This window comes from Homo sapiens, chromosome 1 (assembly GCF_000001405.40).
Source record: "Homo sapiens chromosome 1, GRCh38.p14 Primary Assembly".
NCBI classification, from domain to species: domain Eukaryota; kingdom Metazoa; phylum Chordata; class Mammalia; order Primates; family Hominidae; genus Homo; species Homo sapiens.
In genome coordinates, this window is record NC_000001.11 from 7783018 (window position 1) to 7806412 (window position 23395).

Genomic DNA, 23395 nt, shown 5'->3' on the forward strand with positions numbered 1-23395 from the left:
CAAAATTCTGTTTCTGGGCCGGTGCAGTGGCTCACGCCAGTAATCCCAACATTTTGGGAGACCGAGGCCAGCAGATCACTGGGGCTTAGGAGTTTGAGAACAGCCTGGCTAACACAGACCATCTTTACCAAAAACACAAAAATTAGCCAGGTGTGGTGGCTGCACCTGTAGTTCCAGCTACTCGGGAGGCTGAAGCAGGAAACTGGCTTGAGCCCAGAAGACGGAGGTTGCAGTGAGCCAAAATCGCGCCACTGCACTCCATCCAGCCTGGACAACAGAGCAAAACCCTGTCTCAAAAAATAAAAAATCTGTTTCTAAAAATCGGGTGGGCTTTTTACCAGGGCTGCTTTATGGCCCGGTTCCTCCAAGTCCACCCCACTCACCGAAAGAGTTAGCGGAGGATGGGGGCGGTTGGGGTGGGCTCGGTAGGTCACGGGCGGTGAAAACCGTGGGAACCCAGAAAGACGGCCAAAGCACGATGAGGACCGCTGCCGGCAGCCCGCCCCACCCTGGGCTCCTCCCCACACCCGCTCGGGCAGCCGGGAGCCACCTACAAACTCCAGGACTCGACCCCAGAGCGCTGGCCTGAGCCGCCCCTGCTCGCCCCCAGTCCCCGCCTCTCCCTCCCTCTAATGCCCCCGCCCTCGACACCGTCGCCCCCCCGCCCCTGCCTCTCGCTCCCCACGTCTCTCGGCACCCCCGCTCCCATCCGCCCCCCCGTCCCCGCCTCTCGCCCCCATCCGTCCCCATTTCCAGCCTCCCCCTGACCCCGACTCAAGCCCCCCGACTCCGCCTCTCGCCCCTCTCTGCCCCCGCCTCTCACTCCCCTCTCCTTCCCCGCCCGCCTCTCACGTGGAGGTTGGGCCGGACCCGCCCCGCCCCACAGAGCCCGGGTCCCGCCCCCACGTGGCTGGCAGCTTCCTGGCCCTATCATTTCTGCGCTGGCTTCAGCGGCTCCGCCCCGGCGCCGTGCCAGGGGGCCGGACACTCCAGTCGCGCGGCACAGGCCTGAGGCCGCTGAGGGCCACCCCGTCCCCTGCCCGCCCGCCGGCCTGCTGGGATTGGCCGAGCGCCGGCCTCCGCCCGAGCCCGCGCGTTATGTAACGCGCCCCGGGGGCCCCGCCCCCTCGCCCTGGCTTATATAACCCGGGCGCACCGGCTCGCGCCCCGCCCCAGGGCCAATGGAGGCCTGCGGAGTCGGCCCCGACGACCAATCGCACGGCCCGGGGGCGGGACCGGTCACGCGGCGGCAGGGGGCGCGGCGCCGGCTGCTGACCGGCACGCGGCGAGCCTCGAGACTGCGCGAGGGCGGCCCCGGGGGCGAGCGGCTGTGCGCGGGGCCAAGGGCGGGGGCAGCAGGTGAGTGCGCGGCCGGGCGGGAGTTCTGGGCGGCCGGGCGGGAGTTCTGGGCACTCGCGCGCGGCAGAGGAGCCCCGCGAGCCCTGCCCTCGGTACTGGGGGCCCCCGGAGCGTGGCGCTTCCGAGCCACCCGCCTCCCCGGGCCCCATCCCTCGGCGCGCGGGAAAGTTGGGGCAGGGGTGAGGACCGCGCGGTCGGGGCGCCCCAGCCAGCCGGGCCGCTGGCGTCGGACTGTCTGTTCCATTTGTCCCTTGTCACCCTTGTCTCCTCCCCCTAGGCCGGAGTCCTGAAAGTCGAGCGAGCTCCGGGTTTTGAAAATGTTGGAGGGAAAAGCTCCTCGGAGATGAGCGTGACCCCCTGGCTCGTGGTGGCCGCCTGTTCTCACTAACGCCATGGCGGGGACCGGAGTGAGAAACCGGTGTCTGTCACTGACTGCAAAGTGAGCGAGAAGCAGGCTGCGGGCCGTCCCAGCACGACGTGGAGCCCCGCGGAGACCTCGAGATGCCCCGCGGGGAAGCTCCTGGCCCCGGGAGACGGGGGGCTAAGGACGAGGCCCTGGGCGAAGAATCGGGGGAGCGGTGGAGCCCCGAGTTCCATCTGCAGAGGAAATTGGCGGACAGCAGCCACAGGTGACGCGCTGGCTTCAGGCCGAGGGCCCCATGCGTTCGTTGTCCTTCCCTGGAGCAGGGAAAGGGGGACCTAAATCTTTTTATTCTTTTGTTTTCAAGCCCAGGGGAAAGTGTAAAGGGGAGACTCGGGCAATGTAGGATGAAGTGATCCGTGACACTGAAGAAAATTACCGAAGAGTATCAGGAGGGAAAAGTGGTTACAAAAGTTAGCTGAGTTGGGGCTCAAGTGGATTAAGGGAAAGTAAGTGGAGAATGTTTGTCATTCACCAGTTGCTTTGCCTCGAGTTCCCCACCTAGAGGAAGAGGGGTCACCACCCTGTGGACTGATGCCGGTAGAGCACTTAGAAACTTACCTGGCTTGCAGTTTGTGTTCCCTAAGCCGCAAGATGCTGTTGTCTTCAGAGGATGAAGTTGTAATTTTTTTTTATCTTCCAGTGAACAGCAAGATCGAAACAGAGTTTCTGAAGAACTTATCATGGTTGTCCAAGAAATGAAAAAATACTTCCCCTCGGAGAGACGCAATAAACCAAGCACTCTAGATGCCCTCAACTATGCTCTCCGCTGTGTCCACAGCGTTCAAGGTAAACAAGCCGGAGAGAAATTTCATCCTACGAATGCACCAGGACTCATACAAGCAGCCAGAGGAGTGGTCAGTGGGGTCTCAGTCAGACAAATAATTTGAGCTTTTTCTGGTGCTTTGTGGAAGATGAGCAAATCTACACCGATTCCATTCGTGTCTTAATTGTTCACATGTGAAAGACCAGGAAAACTTTATCTGTATAATAGTGTATAATACCTATGCAATGTTTTGCTCATGTGTTGCAAGAGAGTAGAGTTTAGCATAAGCACATTTTGAAGGCTGACCTTTTAAAGAAATATTGTCTTCTATGGAAGTTATGGGAAAAAAATGCATTCCACGAAATAGTTACCTTTACATGCCGTACACATACTTTCAAAATGCAGTAATGAGGCTGGGCGCGGTGCCTCACGCCTGTAATCCCAGCACTTTGGGAGGCCGAGGCGGGCAGATCACGAGGTCAGGAGATCGAGACCATCCTGGCTAATACGGTGAAACCCCGTCTCTACTAAAAATACAAAAAATTAGCCGGGTGTGGTGGCGGGCGCCTGTAGTCCAGCTATTCGGGAGGCTGAGACAGGAGAACGGCGTGAACCCGGGAGGCGGAGCTTGCAGTGAGCCGAGATCACGCCACTGCACTCCCGCCTGGGTGACAGAGCGAGACTCTGTCTCTAAAAAATAATAATGATAAAAATGCAGTAATGATATATCAGGAATTTACCAAACTAAAAATGAACCATTGTAAACACTTTTTCTCTCTGACATTTCCAGGGATTTCATTAAAGCCATATTCTCTTTAGCACAAACCTCAGTGCTTCATATATGATATGTTCCTGAATGACAGAGTACTGTTTCTGCTCCCCCCGCAAAAAAATTGTGTATGCATCTGAAATTTTTAGTTAGTACCTTAAATGTATCTTGCTTCCTGTGATCCAGAACATGCAGAATTCATAAAATCAAATCTTAAGTTTGCACAACTATCAGTATTTTAGGTAAAAGCAGAAAATGATCTGTTTTTGAGAAAAATGCACTGAGGTGTTCTCATCCGAAAAAAATAATCCAGCTTGATAGTGATGAAATGGTTTCCTAAAGATACTGTTGTCACTGGACTACCTGTTTATCTCCCTGTGTTTCTTAGCAAACAGTGAGTTTTTCCAGATTCTCAGTCAGAATGGAGCACCTCAGGCAGATGTGAGCATGTACAGTCTTGAGGAGCTGGCCACTATCGCTTCAGAACACACTTCCAAAAACACAGTAAGAATTCATGCATTTTGCCATATCAACCTGGGTGACTTTTCCTAAGGGCCTGCTCTAGATGTAGGCTTTTAAGAAGGATAACAACGTTTCAGCAACCACAATTTGAGAGAAGCAAAGGAGGAACTGCTAAAGAGGCATGGTGTAGCTTCTCCGCCCTTGCCAGAGAAAACATCTAAAAGCAGAAGCAGCCCGTTCTGTGTGCTGTGCAGCTCAGTGACTTTGGTTATGAGGTGCTTCTAGCTCCTTAGCATTCCCAAGCTCTCTTGAATTAAGAGAAAACAAAAATTACACTGCAGAGTAATTTCCTGCACCTTATTCTAATCTCCGAATTGTTAATTTCTATTTATATCATTCTTAGTTCCAATACCTACTACTTCAAGTTGTAACAACTGGATGTTATAGAACAGGTGAGTTGAGATGCTGTCATTTTTCCTAAAATTTTGGAAGAGACCTTTAGTATATCTTTTTTAATCTCTCTTCTTGTTTGACAGAGTAATCTTCATGTTTGGTTGATACGGTGGAGATTACTTATTTTAAGTAACATAATTGTTACTTAAAGATTTTGTAATAGTGGAACGTGCGCAATCCCTAGTATTATAACAGTGCTTATTTTATGGACTGGTGTGTACATAGTACTGTAGGAGGTGCTATGGAGATTTTTAAAAATAGCTTAAGAAAATATTTGTCTTTTAAGATATTTAAAATAAAGCTAGAGAGGAAAGTATGCCAATGCTAGCAAACACAAACTGCTGATTATAAATAAGTTTCATTTATGTGTAATGGAAAAAATTAGAGCAGTGATGCTTATGTAATGAGGTTTGTCAAGGACAGCTTCTTGAAGAAGGTGAATCTTCAGTGTGTCTTAAAGCATAGAATCTGCGTTGATGACGAGAACACCGTCCACCCAGGTGTATGGCACAGTTTGCAGAGAAGTTATGTGCCATACGTATTTTAGTCTGCATAGAATAAGCTAGTATATTTTTTGGCATAGAAATTGAACCTTCAGTAGGTGAAGTGCAGGTCTTAGGAGAAGATTTAAGAAGCATGTTGGAGAAAATTATTTGAGGAGTTTTGTTGCATTTGTAGGTTGTGCCTGTGTATTTTAAGATACTGGTCATGTTAGAGATCCAGAAGAAATTTACCTTTCAGGGAATATTGCTAGTGAGTATCTCAATATTTGCATTTATTTTAAATGTTTTTCATAGGATACCTTTGTGGCAGTATTTTCATTTCTGTCTGGAAGGTTAGTGCACATTTCTGAACAGGCTGCTTTGATCCTGAATCGTAAGAAAGATGTCCTGGCGTCTTCTCACTTTGTTGACCTGCTTGCACCTCAAGACATGAGGGTATTCTACGCGCACACTGCCAGAGCTCAGCTTCCTTTCTGGAACAACTGGACCCAAAGAGGTAACAGGACCAATGTTCAGATGTCTATCTTTCCTCATCAAGATCAGTTTCATTCTTACAGGAATAGTACAGAAATTAACATATTATTTAGAACATGCACACTATCTGGTTTTTCTTATTCCTGTTATAGAAAGTCACGTGATGAAAACAGCATTTTAAAAGCTTCTGATAACATACTCAATACGTTTGTTTCCATTTTGTCACATCTGTTTCACAGATGATATGTCATAAATATTATTTCATTACCAGCGTATTGTATAGTGGTTTAGTTGCTATGAAGGCTCTGTTTCCTTTAAGTTAAAATTAAATGTTTTTCCTCCTTCATGATTTCCTTGTATGAGAAATTTTACTTTGGAGATAAAATTTGGATCATTAGGCTGGGCAAGGTGGCTCACGCCTGTAATCCCAGCACTTTGGGAGGTTGAGGCAGGTGGATCACCTGAGGTCAGGAGTTCCAGACCAGCCTGGCCAACATGGTAAAACCCCATCTGTACTAAAAGTACAAAAATTAGTCAGGCATGGTAGTGCATGCCTGTAATCCCAGCTACTCAGGAGGTTGAGGCACGAGAAGCACTTGAACCCGGGAGACAGAGGTTGCAGTGAGCCAAGATCACACCATTGCACTCCAGCCTGGGCGACAAGCGTGAAACTGTTTCTGGGGAAAAAAAAAAAAAAAAATTCAGATCATTAGCTCTCTTACAGTTTTTCTTGCCCCTGAAACTTATGAGTCTTATTACTTTGTTTTCCTTCTGGAATGCTTTTCTTTCATAATTCAAAGATGCCTATTGCAGTTTTCTTTGTGACATTCAGTCCTGTGTGATCTTAATTTATTTCTTTTTAGTCATCCTTCATTATTTTATATTCTTTGTGAAGTGTCTCTTAAAGAGCTTTAAAATATATATATATATATATCAGCGTTCTCTTTGATTCCAAGCCCTTCTCTCTAATTAAAAAAAAAATTCATTGTAGTAAAAAACACATACAGTTTACTATCTGATATAGTTTGGCTGTGTCCCCACCCAAATCTCATGTTGAATTGTAACTCCCACAATTCCCATGTGTCGTGGGAGGAACCCAGTGGGAGATAATTGCATCATGAGGGCGTCTTTCCCATGCTGTTCTCGTGATAGTGGATAAGTCTCATGAGATCTGATTGCTTTAAAAATGGGAGTTTCTCTGCACAAGCTCTCTCTCTTTGCCTGCTGCCGTCCATGTAAGATGTAACTTGCCCCTCCTTGCCTTCTGCCGTGATTGTGAGGCTTCCTCAGCCACGTGGAACTGTAAGTCCGTTAAACCTCTTTCTTTTGTAAATTGCCCAATCTTGGGTCTGTCTTTATCAGCAGCATGCAAACGGACCTAATACACCATCTTAATCATTTTTAGGCATTCACTCCATTGCTGTGAAGGATGTTTACATTGTTGTGAAACAGATCTCCATAACTTTTTCATCTTTATATCTGAAATTCTATCTACTATTTCTAATTTTTTACCCAGTAGTTAATTTAATGAAGGGTAGCTTTGCGTGTTTCTTCTTCCAATTATAGATTGCCCCATCTTTTAAAAATATTTTTACATAAGCTCTAGAAAACATGCATGTCATCCCTGCTTGCTTCTAGCTCATCTCTTTTCCCATCTTTCAAAAATACTGATTTTATTTCTCATCCCCTTTCCTAAATACACATTTTCAACCTTTGTCTGTATTTGTTTCTCTGCTTTTGTTAGCTGTTCATTCCGTAAACATTTATTTAATAATCACGTGGGTCAAGAACTAGTCCGGATACAGATACAGCTGTGAACAGGACATACACAATATTGTCTGCCAGGTCTTTCCCATTTTTTCCCCAGGTATTTTTCCTTCAGCACTGCCTGTGGCTTTTCAGCCTTTTCATTTTTGCTGATTACTGATTACTGCGATATTTCCCTTCTGTATTAGTCCATTCTTACGCTGCTATAAAGAACTATCTGAGACTGGGTAATTAATAAAGGAAAGAAGTTTAATTGACTCACAGTTCCACATGACTGGGGAGGCCTCAGGAAACTTACAATCATGGCAGAAGGGGAAGCAAACATGTCTTTCTACACATGATGGCAGGAAGGAGAAGAATGGGAGCCGAGTGAAGGAGGAAGCCCTTTATAAAGCCATCAGATCTCTTGAGAACTTACTATCATGAGAACAGCATGGGGGAAACTGCCCCCATGATTCAATTACCTCCCTCCGGGTTCCTCCCACCACACATGGGGATTATGGGAACTATAATTCAAGATGAGATTTGGGTGGGGATACAGCCAAACCATATCATTCTGCTCTTAAGCCCTCCCAAATCTCACGTCCTCACATTTCAAAATGCAATCATGCTTTTCCAACAGTCCCCCAAAGTCTTAGCTCATTCCAGCATTAGACCAAAAGTCCAAGTCCAAAGTCTCATATGTGACAAAGCAAGTCCCTTTCACCTATGAGCCTGTAAAATCCAAAGCAAGTTAGTTATCTCCTAGGTACAATAGACGTACAAGCATTGGGTAAATACACCCATTTCAAATGGGAGAAATTGGCCAAAACAAAGGGGCTACAGGCCCCTTGCAAGTCTGAAATCCACTGAAGCAATAATTAAATATTAAAGCTCCAAAATAATCTCCTTTGACTCCATGTCTCACATCCAGGTCATGCTGGTGCAAGAGGTGGGCTCCTACAGCCTTGGGCAGCTCTGCCCTTGTGGCTTTGCAGGGTACAGCCTCCCTTATGGCTGGTTTCATGGGCTGGCATTGAGTGTCTGTGGCTTTTCTGGGCTCACAGTGCAAGCTTTTGGTGGATCTACCATTCTTAGGTCTGGAGGATGGTGGCCCTCTTCTCACAGCTCCACTAGGCAGTGCCCCAGTGAAGACTGTGTGGGCTCCGAACCCAAATTTCCCTTACACATCTCTCTTAGCAGAGGTTCTCTATGAGGGCTCCGCCCCTGTAGCAAACTTCTGCCTGGACATCCAGGCATTTCCGTACATCCTCTGAAATCTAGGCAGAGGTTTCCAAACCTCAGTTCTTGTCTTCTGCACACCTGCAGGACCAACACCATATGGAAGCTGCCAAGGAATAGGGCTTGCACCCTCTGAAGCTATGGCCTGAGCTGTACCTTGGTCCCTTTTAGCCATGGCTGGAGGTGAAGCAGCTGGAATGGAGGGCATCATGTCCCAAGGCTGCACAGAGCAGTGGGGGCCTGGACAGGCCCAGAAAACCATTTTTTCTCTCGTAGGCCTCAGCCTGTGATGGGAGGGGTTGCTGTGAAGTCTCTGACATGCCCTGAAGACATTTTCCCCATTGTCTTGGTGATTAACATTTGGCTTCTTGTTACTTCTGCAAATTTCTGTAGCAGGCTTGAATTTCTCCCCAGAAAATGGGTTTTTCTTTTCCATTGCATCTTCAGGCTACAAATTTTCCAAGTTGTTATGCTCTGCTTCCTCTTTAATGCTTTGCTGTTTAGAAATTTCTTCCGTCAGATACCTAAATCATCTCTCTCAAGTTCAAAGTTCCACAGATCTCTAGGCCAGGAGCAAAAGTTGCCAGTCTCTTTGCATAGCAGAAGTGTCCTTTACTCCAGTCCCAACAAGTTCCTCATCTCTCTCTGAGACCACCTCAGCCTGCACTTCATTGTCCATATCACTATCAGCATTTTGGTCAAAGCCATTCAACAAGTCTCTAGGAAGTTCCAGACTTTCCCACATTTTCTTGTCTTCTTCTAAGCCCTCCAAACTGTTCCAGTGTCTGCCTGTTACCCAGTTCCAAAGTCACTTCCACATTTTTGGGTATCTATGGCAGCACCCCACTCTTTGCAGTACAAGTTTACTGTATTAGTCCATTCTCATGCTGCTAATAAAGACATACCCAAGACTGGGTAATTTCTAAAGGAAAGAGTTTTAATTGACTCAGTTCAGCATGGCTGGGGAGGCCTCAGGAAACTTAACAATCATGGCAGACGGGGACATGTCCTTCACGTGGCAACAGCAAGGAGAAGCGCCAAGCAAAAGGGGGAAAAGCCTCTTATAAAACCATGAGCTCTCATGAGAACTCACTATCACGAGAACGGGATGACGGCAACCACCCCCATGATTCAGTTACCTCCCACCAGGTCCCTCCCTTGACATGTGGGGATTATGGGAACTACAATTCAAGATGAGATTTGGGTGGGGACACAGCCAAACCATATCACCTTTTATGTAAAATCTTAATATGCCCTGAAATAATTCTTTTGGATCTCAAAATTCACTTATGCCATAAGGCACGATATAATTCTAGTTTACTCTTTATATTGTACTTTTGCCTTATGAATCTCAAGGATTGATACTGAGAGCAGTTGGTTAATGCCACCCCCTTTATAGGCTATGCCTGCGTTACCCCCTTCGATTCCTTACTTTGAGCACATAGAACATCAAGAGGACTTAGGAAGCAATCCACTCAGCTGTTGTCAACCTCTGGTCCTGTATTAGAATATGTTTCTATTTAACATGTCTTGTACAAACCTCTTAGAAGGATCTGACCATTACTTCTTCAGAGTACGCTTTTAGAAACAAGCATCACATATTTACAGCCTAGGAATGGAAATGCATTGTGGGTGCACGTCTGCTGTCTTAGATCACGTAGTCTAGCTTTCAGTGGTCCAGGACTTCTAGTGAGTGCAGTTGGAGTTCATGTGTCTGGTGTGATGAATAAATGGTATAAGCAAACTGACCTCACAGTAGAGGCCGTTTTCTGTAGAAGATTATACCAATCTTCAGTGCTTTATTAATGCTTTCTGACTCTTCTGTGATCGTCTCTTAGAAGTATCAAGACCTGGGCTGCTTATTCAATATTTTGGTTGTTTTGGATTTTCACTGTTTATGCTACCTTCAGTGTATATTTTTTGAACATCTCACAGTTTTCCATGGTTCCTATAACTGAAGACTTCTTGTTTCAGTGAACAAATGCCCAAAAGATATTCAGGAAGCTCTAATCAGAGGAAATACATATAGTCAACAAACACTGGGCAGAAATTTCAGTCCCCTCATCTCCTAAGGCAAATTTAGACATTTCTGAATTATCACCTCATAAATCAATAAAATGGGTGCAGAAATCAATGGAATTGCTAGCAAATCATTGGCATGAGGGTTGTGAGAAAACATTAATAAAACTCTGAAGATTGGTACAGTTTTCTGGAGGTTTATCCATACACAATAAAGTCATAAAACGATTCTATCATTTAACCTAGGAACACAACTTTTTGAAATTTATCCAAAGAAAGAGCTTAAAGAAAAAAAGAAAATTATATATCGTATAGCTAAGAAGCTGAAAATAGTCTGAATTCCCAACTTTTTAGAAAGGTCCAGACTATTACAATGGGATGGAATATTACCACCAGAATAATTGTGTCCAAGGATCATTACATTGACCTTTGAGATGATGAACATGGGCAGTTTGGGAACTATGAAAAGTAGTAAGGGGAAGAGATAAAGCCGATTCTCACTGTTATACCTGAGGTTCACGGTTCCAGTACCAAAACCAATACTAGTATTTCCCAATTCTAGTATTGTGACTGGATCTCAAAATGAAGGAAGGGGGTTCTATTTTAATCAAGGAGACCTCTCTCTCTTTTAAAAAATAGTTTGTTGTTTGATAATGGTGCAACATTGTTTCACTGAGAAAGACCTGGATAAGAGGGAGTGACTGACCAGGCATCTTTCTTTCTAGCAGCTGCACGGTATGAATGTGCTCCGGTGAAACCTTTTTTCTGCAGGATCCGGTAAGTATAGTGGCTCGTGGAAGCCAGCAACAGTGGATTATGTTCTGAGTTTATTTTGCAGTTGGTTTGATTCTTGTGTATTCAGCTCACTTCTGTTGCGAGATACAAAAAATAAGACTTGGTTATTGCCACAAGGAGTTCGTATTTTGATTGAGAAGAGACATACTCATGAGAAAACTAGATAATAATGCAATAGGAGGCTGGGCACAGTGGCTCACACCTGTAATCCTAGCACTTTGAGAGGCAGAGGCGGAGGCGGGCGGATCACAAGGTCAAGGGGTCGAGAACATCCTGGCCAACATGGTGAAACGGCGTTTCTACTAAAAATACAAAAATTAATTAGACGTGGTAGTGCACGCCTGTAGTCCCAGCTACTCGGGAGGCTGAGGCAGGAGAATAGCTTGAACCTGGGAGGTGGAGGTTGCAGTGAGCTGAGATGGCGCCATTGCACTCCAGCCTGGCAACAGAGCGAGACTCTGTCTCAAAAAAAATAAAAATAAATAATAATGCGATAGGAAAAAAGTCTAGAAAAATAATTCTTAACTCTAGGAGTGTATAAGAATCACTAGATGTGAAGTACACTTTAAAATGACCATTGTTTTGGGCTCTTTTTTGTTTAGCTTTTTGTTTTTCAGTCACATTTAAAATTAATTTTTGAAATTTTTAATAGCTTTAAAGAAAGCAAGAGATTTATATTTGTGAGAAGGATTTAAAAGATCTAGAGACAGTGAACCAGAAGAAAACAGATGAAAATTTTAACAGTAGTTGATTGCTGGTAGGAATTACTACTGAATTTTTTATCTTCTAAATTTGCTGCAATATATTATTAGTGTTCCTTTTATGTTATATACATAATATATAATTATATATTCTGTTATGTTATATATTATGTATATAAGATGATATAATAATATGTTCTTTTGTAATAAGAACAAATATTTTGAAATGACATTGTGATTGCCAGTTTTAGTATTGAAGTTACTAAATGCTCAAGATGTTTAGAGAGAAGAAAAACCCTCATGATGAAATAGTCTAATATTCCAGTACTCCATGGAACTGGGGGACTTGAGCTCATAGGCTCTGGATGCTTGGGGGGGACGGCCTGAGAAAGGGCACAGCGGTGGGAGGGGCTGTCTTGTTCCAGTGGGTCATTCACAAGTGAGTTGTATGAAGATCTTAGAACAGTTCCTGCCTCCTAATAAGTGCTGTATGTGTTTCTGATGTTAATTAATATTTTGGGGTGCTTTCTCTGAGCCAGGCACTTTGTCAGTGCTGGGATTCAAACAGTTCTTGCCTCACGTACCTTAAATTCTGTGAGGAGGAGACCAATAATAAACACATATTCAAATGCCTGTGTTGGCTGGTGATAAGTTGTGTGTAGACAGTAAAGCAAGGAGCGGGAGTTCTGGGAAGCGGGAGATTGCCGTTGTATTCAGGGTGATCCAGGAACTCTTAGGAAGTCTAATTGGAAACAGCGACCAGAAGGAGGGCAGGGGGTGAGCCACACCGGTATCTGAGGGGTGGCAAGTGTCTGAGAAAGTGTGTTCCAGGCAGAGGGAGCAGCAGGCGCAGAGGCCCTGGGGTGGGCCATGCCTGGCCTGTGGGAGGAGTGACACGGAGCTGCTGTGGCCTGAGTGGAGGAAGGAACGAGGATGGAAGAAGACGGGAAAGCACGGGCCACACCACAGGGAGCAGTGACTTCTGCACGAAGTGTTTTATTTCAGTTTATCACTTGCTTATTTTCAAAACGTTTTACTTTGGGAATTTTCAAACATAACACAAAAGAAGAGAAGATAATGTAATGAACTGCTGCGGTGTCATCACCCAGCTTTTTAAGAACTCGAACCCTGGCCAGTCTGGCGTCATCTCTGCCAGCAGCAGTTCTTTAACCCCCTCTTCCCAGGTTACCAGACAGCGTAGCTCAGATCTCGTCTGATTTCCTGCATCAGTATTTCAGAATGTCATTCTAAGAGAGGAAGTTCTCATTCACGTTTGTGGGGTTCAAAATGGTCCCATCTTTGGCCAGTAGGAATCCCTTTGGGTTGGCCCCTGTACCCTTGTGAGAGTGCCCCATGGTCTTTGACAGCTTCCATTGTTTTAAGCATGAGACACCCCAGACCCATTTTAGACATTCCTTAGCCCAGACTTGGCATCAGCCATTTCTCTAAGGATCCCTGGTTCCTTTTGGTGGGAAATGGCATTCACATTTGGAGGCCAAATCTGGATGGTAGGGATGGTTATTGCTACAGGGTTATCATTGCATCTAGAAATTTTCAGTGAACAGAGGTAGGAAACGTTCATTTCAGTTTCCTTTTTTTTTTTTTTTTTGAGACAGGATCTCACTGTGTCCCCCAAGCTGGAGTGCAGTGGCACGATCTCGGCTCACTGCAATCTCTGCCTCCTGGGTTCCAACAATTCTCCCACCTCAGCCTCCCAAGTAGCTGGGACTACAGGCATGCACCGCCACAGCTAATTTTTATATTTTTTGTAGAGACGGGGTTTCTCCATGTTGGCCAGGCTGGTCTCGAACTCCTGGCCTCAAGTGATCCAACCTCCTCGGCCTCCCAAAGTGTTGGGATTACAGGCGTGAGCCACCATGCCTGGCCCGGAAACAGTTTCCAATATGAAAGACTGGTGTTGGCTGCAGTGTTGAAGATACTTTGGAGGGGGAAGAAGGGAGGCAGGGAGGGCAGTTAGAGGCTGTTACAGAGGTACAGGCTATAGGCCAGCGTTCCGGGGGGAGGTATAAATATTTGTATATTCTGGATATTTTTTACACTTGATCTTAGCCAAAAGGCCAAGAAGCGATATTCTGGATATTTTTAGAGAACAAATTACCAGAATTTATTAATGGGTTATATTTGGAGTGAGTGTGAAGTAAGAGTCAAGGATAATACCAGGAGTTTTGGGCTGGAGTTATCATTTTTTGAGGCAGACGAAATTCTAGGAAAATCAACTTCCTGGAGGTGGAGAGAAAGAATGTGGTGCTTAGTTTTAGATAAGTTAAGTTTGTGATACCTGTTGAATATCCAAGTTGAGACTCTATGAGAGTCTGGAGTTAAGGAAAACTTTTAGGCTAGAGGTAGATATTTGGGTCATCAGCGTGTAAATGGCATTTAAAACCTTTGGACTGGATGAGCCTGGAAAATGCATTCGTGGATGTGGAGGGAAGCTGGAAGGTGTGAGCATGGATGTGAGCATGGATGTGGGTCGGCAGCACCGGGACACAGCTCACTTCCCGGTGATTCTCTTTTCTTGGTGAAATGGGAAGCAAGGTCATCAGTTGAGGGTGCAGAGTGGGAGAAGATTCTGTAGTGTGTGGTAGAAGAGAAAGAGCAAGGTGGGGCTGGGCGCAGTGGCTCACGCCTGTAATCCCAGTACTTTGGGAGGCCAAGGTGGGCTGATCACCTGAGGTCAGGAGTTTGAGACCAGCCTGACGAACATGGTGAAACCCCATCTCTACTAAAAATACAAAAATCATCTGGGCGTGGTGGCACGCACCTGTAATCCCAGCTACTCGGGAGGCTGAGGCAGGAGAATCAGCTTGCACCCAGGAGGTGGAGGTTGCAGTGAGCCAAGATTGTGCCATCGCACTCCAGCCTGGGCAACAGAGCGAGACTCCGTCTTTAAAAAAAAAAAAAAAAGAAAAAAAAGTGAGGTGGAAGTAGGAACAGACTAGAGAATCTCTGGCAGTACTAAAGAGCCCCTCAGGATTGGTAGTCACACCTTTACGTGCTGGCGAGAGAGTAAATGGATGATTGGTAAAAGTTGGGGAGTGTGAATTCAGTCTTGGGCTTTTTGACTTCTAGGTGAAGTGGCATCTCCCAGTAGAAGCATCCGCTGGGCAGCTGCAGTGGTAACACCGGGTGATGATATTTGAAGTCATCAATCAGAGCCTCCCCTGCCGAGAGGTTCTTTGTGAGGAGTGGAAAGGGGTGCGCCCTCTGGGCCAGGGACAGGGCTTGCTGAACTCGGTTTTAGCCTCAACTTTTTCTTTCCTCCTCAGCCAGATGCCTTTATAGATGGAGCACCTGACCTCATGCAAGGGCCCTCATCACTGAAGCTGGAGACGAAATTGGTTCTTAGAGAGTGTAGAAAGGGACGACTGAGAACTAGCCCCGGGGCATGATTGCAGGGGACCCTGTTTTCTCTCTTGTGACACCTGTTGTAGATATGTGAAATGAGACAGTTATGCTTGTCCCTCTTCACAGCAGAAGGGGAAAAGTCAAACTGGGAATGCATCACATGGAGGCCAGGAGAAAAGTCATGGAACCACTAATTCTGTTTTTACACTCACAGTAATCTAAGCCAGTTCTTTACACAACCTCTTACTCGTTGAATAATAGCGAAAATTTAAGCTAACATATTCTTTCTTTTGAAAACAAACATGTTTAAACATTTTAGATGTGGGTATGTCTGTCTTGGAAATTACCAATAAAATATTTCTCCCAGCCTTGTTTCGCCATGGGCCAGTAGGGTGCGTCAGGACCAGCACTAATATCTTTAATCTCCTCAGTGGAGGTGAAGACAGAAAGCAAGAGAAGTGTCACTCCCCATTCCGGATCATCCCCTATCTGATTCATGTACATCACCCTGCCCAGCCAGAATTGGAATCGGAACCTTGCTGTCTCACTGTGGTTGAAAAGATTCACTCTGGTTATGAAGGTAAGTCAGTAGATAAGATGCAGAAATGTCAGCAATCAGATAGGAACATGGGAAAGTCTGTTTACGTCAGTCATAGAACAACAAAAAGAGCTCTTGGGTCTCCAATTTGACCCTTAAACTCTTCAGGCATTTGAAGCTGGTTTTCATTGATGTCTCTGTTTACTGACTTTTAGCTTCTTGTACAGTCATTGTCTTCATGGTCAGCATGGCTGAACGAATGGTCTCAGCACAGGACTTGGTGACAGATACGGTTTTCTAGTCCTCTCTCTGCTGGTGACCCATTCAGTGTGGCCTTTTGCTTGTGTTGTGTGAAATAAGAGTGCTGAAATTGTTTCCCAGAGAGGCCACAAGAGTGATTTTATGTTTTTGAAGTCTTCTGAAACTCCCTGAGTAAAATGTATATTTTATCTTGTACGAGCAGAACTATATTTCTAAATGCATATATCAATACATAGGCAGCTTCCATGTATTACTGAAAAGTCAGTTCAGATGTAAAATGACATATGCTTTCCTGCAAATTACCATCCTATGCAACAGTCACACAATAAAAACCACAGGGCTTATGGGAAAAATGGGTTTAGGAGCACAAAACTCAAAAGCTTAGTTGCGTATTAAAAATAAGACAGGAATCAAATAAAAATGATAATCGTGCCGGGTGCAGTGGCTCACGCCTGTAATCCCAGCACTTTGGGAGGCCGAGGCGGGTGGATCATGAGGTTAGGAGTTCGAGACCAGCCTGGCCAACGTGATGAAACCCCGTCTCTACTAAAAATTACAAAAATTAGCTGGGTGTGGTGGCGTGTGCCTGTAATCCCAGCTACTCAGGAGGCTGAGGCAGGAGAACTGCTTGAACCGGGACCCGGGAGGCGGAGGTTGCGGTGAGCTGAGATCACACCATTGCACTCCAGCCTGGGCAACAAGAGTAAAACTCTGTCTCAAAAAAAAAAAAAAAAAAAAGATAATCATTTCATGCATGTTAAATGATTAGGAAATCTACAAACACTACAATAAATATGGCTCATACCACAGGACGGACTGAGGTAGCAGGTAGATGTTTGAGGTGTGTATGCATGTTTTTGTGTATTCTTTTTTTGTTGTTGTTTTGCTTTGCTTTGAGACAGGGTTTTGCTCTGTCACTCAGGCTGGAGTGCAGTGTGTGGTCATGGCTCATTGCAGCCTCAGACTCCTGGGCTTCAGTGATCCTCCCACCGCAGCCTCCAGGGTAGTTAGGACCACAGGCACGCACCATCACGCCTGACTAATTTTATTTATTTATTTATTTTTTGTAGAGACAGGGTCACACTATGTTGCCCAGGCTGTTCTCGAACTCCTGGGCTCTAGTGATCCTCCTGCCTTGGCCTCCTAAAGTGCTGGGATTATAGATGTGAGCCATCAGACCTGTTTTTGTGTATTTGTAAGTGGTTCCTTTGAACTGGATGCTGTTTTCTGCATTCACTTAAGGCTTCTTGAAAATGAAATAGCGCACAAGCAAATGAGATATTAGCATTTGCTCATACCATTCCCTAATATATCAATCACTTCATTTTTTTTTTTCTTGAGTCTCGCTCTGTTACCCAGGCTGGAGTGCAGTGGGCACGATCTCAGCTCACTGCAACCTCCACCTCCTGGGTTCAAGCAATTCTCATGCTTCAGCCTCCCGAGTACCTGGGATTACAGGCGCCCACCACCCCACCCTGCTAATTTTTGTATTTTTAGTAGAGACAGGGTTTTATCATGTTGGCCAAGCTCGTCTCAAATTCCTGACCTCAAGTGATCGGCCTCCCAAAGTGCTGGGATTACACGCGTGAGCCACCGAGCCCGGCGACACTTCATTTTTAAAGCAAGCATTAGAATAGAACTGACCATACCAATTTTATTACACAAAGAATATCCATATGGTACTAAATAACATTTGTAGTATTTTCGTTTGTTTAGTTATATGCAGCTACTAAATCTGATTAAACTTTTTAGTTACTCCAGTTTTAACTATTAAATGATTTATGATGAGCCAGGTGTGGTGGCAGGCGCCTGTAATCCCAGCTACTTGGGAGGCTGAGGCATGAGAATCTCTTGAACCTGGGAGGTGGAGGTTGCAATGAGCCGAGATCATGCCACTGCACTCCAACCTGGGGGATAGAGCAAGACTCTGTCTCCAAAAAAAAAAAAAAAGAGAGAAAACTATTTAATGTGCACATTCTTTCTCTCTCTGTTTAAAATTGACTTTAATAGGCTTCAAATTTTTACCTAATTAAAATGTAGTTAGTAATGAAATTACTATCATTTAACTGTAGCTTTGGCTGCTTGAAGGCCAGGCCCCTAAATGAGATTTCTACCATTTCATATAGATTTTGTTCTCTTTTTAATATGTTAAGTGGTTAGTTAGGTGGATAATTAATTAGATATTTGCCTTTAAATGGGTCTTTGTTTTTTTTTCCTTAGCTCCTCGGATCCCAGTGAATAAAAGAATCTTCACCACCACACACACCCCAGGGTGTGTTTTTCTTGAAGTAGATGAAAAGTAAGTACTTCTTTAAGCCTAAAAGAAATTTGTTTCTGAAAATAAATATAAATGTGAAGAAGATTACATTATGTTTGCATGTTTATACATTATGTAATTGAAATCTGTCCATTTGCCTATTTGATTTTTGTTACATGGAAATGTATGTTGTCTAAATTTTTAATATAAATATTTTGCATATTATAAAGTGATTACAAGTTGTATTTGATTTCTAAACAGTATGCTTTAGGTAGGCCAAGAATTATTTCATTTTACAGAGAAGACAATGAACCCACCGGCCAGTTTGCTGAGAACAGATGTATAGTATCTGATTGCGCTCAAACTGGGACCAAGACTCTGGTCTTCTAGCACTTATTCTGGTGTTATTTACACTTGCCAAGTGCTTCTCAAATCAGTTTATGATGAAATTTCAGTTAGTCTGAAGTGGGGGCGAAGGTGGGGAGAACAGATTATTTTTTGTAAAGAATTGTTCTTTATTTTGAACTTCTGTCCTTCCTACTTTTGGGGGATGTTGAAATAGTCTTTGTTATTTAAAGGATAGTGATAGTAGGTAGTAGTTATTGCTTAATGCTGTTTTTTAGTATCTTTATTTGGAAAAAGTAAATATCAGTATCACTACATCAGTATCCCGCATTTTTTCCCCACATTTATTTTAACATTTTACTTACTCATGAAATTCAAAAATCTGGGAACCAACACACCACACCACACATAACTGAAAAGCAAAAATGTCAGAAACATTTTCTTGATAATTTTTTATTAAAAAAATTTAACATCTGAAAATCAGTGTATTTGATAATGTCTACCCTGAAACCAAATAGTAATGTGTGAGATACTTAACCTGTATAAAGTAAGAAAATTCAGCTAAATATAATTCTAAAAATAGCTTAAATCTCTTGTATTAGAAAATATTTGTGGGTTTTTACACAGGGAAAATATTTACGGAATCCAGTTTTTTCTGAAGCATCCTTAGTCTTACCATCGTAAGTTTCCCATGAACCTTTATCCTGAAACTATTTCTGTGTACTAGCTGTCTGTCTATCTGATATTACCTTTTGGGTGACATTGTGTTTTTTTTGTTTTGTTTTTGAGATGGAGTCTCACACTGTTGCCCGGGCTGGAGTGCAGTGGTGCGGTCTTGGCTCACTGCAACCTCCACCTCCCTGGTTCAAGCAATTCACCTGCCTCAGCCTCCCAAATAACTGAGATTACAGGCACACACCACCACACCCGGCTAATTTTTTTATATTTTCAGTAGAGATGGGGTTTCACCATGTTGGCCAGACTGGTCTCGAACTCCTGACCTCAGGCAGTCTGCCCGCCTCAGCCTCCCAAAGTGCTGGGATTACAGGCGTGAGCCACCGTGCCTGGCCTAGGTGACATTGTTTTTATGTAATTTTAATTATGCTGTATGAATTAGCAACCTGCATTATTCATTTAACATCATCAGCATCTTTCTACGTTACGATGTGCTTTTTGTAGACTTTTTAAATGGCAACATAAACATAATTATGGAGGGCATCAGAGTCCTCTAAGGAACTTGCTAAAAGACAGATGCCTGGTCTTATTTCCAGAGCTTCTGATTTAGTAAGCATACAGCGAGACTGTGGATCTGTATTTTAGCAAGTTCGCTAGATGATTTTGATGTAATGTGTCAGATGACCAACATGTGTTAGATTATACAGCCATTTCCCCCAGGATGGGCACTTGGGTTCTTTGCTGTTTTTATAAATGCTAAGATAAACAGCTTTGCATAAAATTGTCTCACATTTAGAATGAAATACAGAAGTATTTTTAAAAGTGTATAAGAATTACCTGATGAGTATGCCACCTGTGTTGTGTATCTGTATCCCAGAGCAGTGCCTTTGCTGGGTTACCTACCTCAGGACCTGATTGGAACATCGATCCTAAGCTACCTGCACCCTGAAGATCGTTCTCTGATGGTTGCCATACACCAAAAAGGTCAGGACCTACTCCTTTATAGGAGGAAATATTTTTCTCTCATTGATTTGTTCTAATTTTTCTTTTCATCTCATTAGAGCGCAACCTTTAACCAGAGAGGCATTACATTGAAGCTGCTAAAGCAATTGTTTTCTATTTAAACATACTAAAACAGGCCAGGCACAGTGGGTCACACCTGTAATCCCAGCACTTTGGGAGGCCGAGGTGGGCGAATTGCCTGAGGTCAGGAGTTGGAGACCAGCCTGGCCAACATGGTGTAACCCATCTATACTAAAAGTACAAAAATTAGCCAGGCATGGTGGTGCACGCCTGTAATCTCAGCTACTCAGGAGGCTGAGGCACAAGAACTGCTTGAACCTGGGAGGCGGAAGTTGCAGTGAGCCAATATCATGCCACTGCACTCCAGCCTAGGCAACAGAGCGAGACTCAATCTCAAAAAAAACCACTAAAACATTTACAAATAAATGGCTTAAAAAGGACATTTGTAATCAGTATCTGTGTTAAGTAAATCCTATTTTTGTCTTATTATTTTATATAGTTTTGAAGTATGCAGGGCATCCTCCCTTTGAACATTCTCCCATTCGATTTTGTACTCAAAACGGAGACTACATCATACTGGATTCCAGTTGGTCCAGCTTTGTGAATCCCTGGAGCCGGAAGATTTCTTTCATCATTGGTCGGCATAAAGTTCGAACGTAAGCCAGTCAGTTTTCATATTTTCTAAAACATCTCTTGTATCAAATAATATTCCTTAGCTTATTGACTGCCCTCTGACTCAATTGACACATAAACTAAATAAAGCACAGATTTGTTTTCGGTGCTTTGGGGAGACAGTTTGACAGTGTGTACCGTGAGCCTTAAAAGAAGTCATAATATCAGCCTTAAAGTAGCTTAAATATCCATCATTAAGTAAACTCTGGAATATTTGCTTGATGTATTATTATATTGGTCAATGAAAATTTTTGCAGAGATCACATAACATGGAAAAATATTTGATTTTTAAATATAAAAATCAGCATACAAAATTATTTATACCTATGATTATAATTATGTTTAAAACGAACATACTATGAAATAAGGAAAAGAGAATTGAAAGGAAATAAAATATGAATTTTGGTTAAGTGTAGGTACTAGGACCTACAAGTGTTTCTTTCTTTCTTTTTTTTTTTTTTTAAAGATCTCTTTAGTGAGCATGTAAAACTTTTTATATCAGCCTTCCGCCATCAAATTCCACTTGTTTGTGTCTTTTTTTTTTTTTTTCTTTGAGACAGGTTCTCCCTCTGTTGCCCAGGCTGGAGTGCAGTGATGCGATCACAGCTCAGTGCAGCCTTAACCTCCCCTGGCTCAGGTGATCCTCCCACTTCAGCCTCCCAAGTAGCTGGGCCCACAGGTGCCTGCCAACACATTCAGCCCTTTCTTGTATTTTTTGTAGAGATGGGGTTTTGCCATGTTGCCCAGGCTGGTCTCAAACTCCTGTACTCAAGCATCCTCCTGCCTCAGCCTCCCAGAGTGCTGGAATTTTGAAGGTACGAGCCACTGCGCCCGGACTGTGTCCATTTTTTAATACTTCTTTTCCTGCCAGCACAGCTGACACCAGCTTGTTTGCTTGCTGTTGCCCATCCACGTAACAGCATCATGTGGAATGGAACGAGACCAGCCCGGCCCACAACTTCTTGTAGGCTACAGTACCCCTACCCCTAGGCCCTTGAATCTTTAGTCCTTTTTTTTTTTTTGAGACAGGATCTCAGTCTGTCACCCAGGCTGGAGTACAGTGGCCTGATCGCGGCTCACTGCAACTTCCGCCTCCTGGGTTCAAACGTTTCTCCTGCCTCAGCCTCTCCAGTAGCTGGGATTACAGGTGCACGCCACCACACCCAGCTCATTTTTGTATTTTTAATAGAGACAGGTTTCACCATGTTGGCCAGGCTGGTCTCGAACTCCTGACCTCAAATGATCCACCCACCTTGGCCTCCCAAAGTGCTGGGCTTACAGGTGTGAGCCATCACGCCCAACCCTGTGGTCCATTTTTAATTGAACTCTAGGCCTTTTGACCTGGCTCTAGGTTTCCCTCTGATGTCTATCTTTTTTAAGCATGGAAATTTTACTTGACTCCAGTATCATGCTGAGATCGAGAAGTTATGTTTTTTGGTATCTTGTTATACAGCATTGTCTACATGAACATGAACCTGAGAACAGTAGATCTACCAGTAAGACGTATTTGATCACCTGTTAATATTACAGTAGAGATGATGCCGAGCCATGGTGAGAAGAGGTCTCAAGGTTGCTCTTACCTCTTTCTACTCCAGGGTTTGGCCCCTCCGCAGAGCACGTGTAGAACTTAATGGAAGAAATGGGCTCCTGGCCGCCCTAACTCATGAGACTGATTTGTGCTAGAAAACGAATTTGATTATTAAGAAATACAGCTGCCAAGTAATTACCATTGGTATTGCTCAGAAAGGACTTTGTCCCTTCTCCCCACCCCATACCCCCCAAGTACGGAAACCTATTGGGAAATGAACATGAAATCCGATGGTTGCTTGGCATGAACGTAGGAAACTGCAGCCAGTAAGATGCCTTCATGAGGCTTCCATCTGGGGCTCGTTGATGGTCTGTGTTCCCCAGCCCCAGTCAGGGTTAAAGATACGGCCTGGATTTCTGAAGCTCTCTTTTCAGTTCTTTGATGAAATATATGTGAAATTATGCAACATATAATGAATATTCAGAATGTTTTCAGTATTTTAAAAAATTACACTGGTATTTACATCTTAACAACAAAGATTATGTGAGGGAAAGGATTTAAGGTCTAGTAGGTATTAATCTTGCTCATAAAATATTAATTATTCATTATATTTATAAAGTATAAAGCTCTGTGTAAGACAGTGTGCTGGGCCTTGAGAATGTAATGGTAATCAAAACATTCTCTTTACCATCAGGAAACCCACACTGTAATGGGAGAGACAGTAAATAAAAATGGCACTGTCATATATAACTAGAGTTTGGTAAGTGTGACAGTTGAAATGGGAAGGGGGCTGCAAGACTGTTTAGCAAGGGACCCTGCCTGTATCTCTCTCAGTCCTTCCCAGCAGCACTGCAGGCAAGCAGGTCAGGTGTCCTCAGCTCTCATTTTACAGGTAAAATCCATACTCAGTAAACTAGAGTAGCCTTCCCAGGGATCACTTCGGGAGGAGTGAAAGTGGAGACTGCAGCCAAGTTTTCTCTCTTACTCCTACTTCACTTCACATACACAGCAAAGCAATAA

The 23395-nt window shown here is 44.1% G+C and overlaps 1 protein-coding gene across 47 annotated transcripts in view, besides 1 other annotated feature; it reads left to right on the top strand.

Moving 5' to 3' along the window:
- Nucleotides 740-1349: a silencer, noted in NCBI's record as "silent region_187". NCBI's record gives its function as "represses an Ori minimal core promoter by ATAC-STARR-seq in GM12878 lymphoblastoid cells {active_cell/tissue: GM12878}" and the evidence as "EXISTENCE:reporter gene assay evidence [ECO:0000049][PMID:35858748]".
- The window catches only part of PER3 (period circadian regulator 3), a 60887-nt gene continuing 38765 nt past the window's right edge, over nt 1274-23395 (top strand). For 8 of the 47 annotated variants that reach the window (NM_001438701.1, NM_001377275.1, NM_001438702.1 and 5 more), the window contains exons 1-10: nt 1274-1359; nt 1637-1988; nt 2424-2569; nt 3704-3819; nt 5028-5229; nt 10940-10991; nt 15508-15656; nt 18096-18174; nt 20030-20136; nt 20675-20831. In NM_001438701.1, coding sequence (NP_001425630.1) covers nt 1861-1988; nt 2424-2569; nt 3704-3819; nt 5028-5229; nt 10940-10991; nt 15508-15656; nt 18096-18174; nt 20030-20136; nt 20675-20831 — 1136 coding nt within the window. In that variant the 5' untranslated portion in view covers nt 1274-1359; nt 1637-1860. Of the gene's footprint in view, nt 1989-2087; nt 2230-2423; nt 2570-3703; nt 3820-4180; nt 4230-5027; nt 5230-10939; nt 10992-15443; nt 15657-18095; nt 18175-20029; nt 20137-20674; nt 20832-23395 lie in introns of those variants that run through there. The other 39 variants (XM_047433436.1, NM_001289861.2, XM_047433443.1 and 36 more) reach the window with 17 other exon arrangements.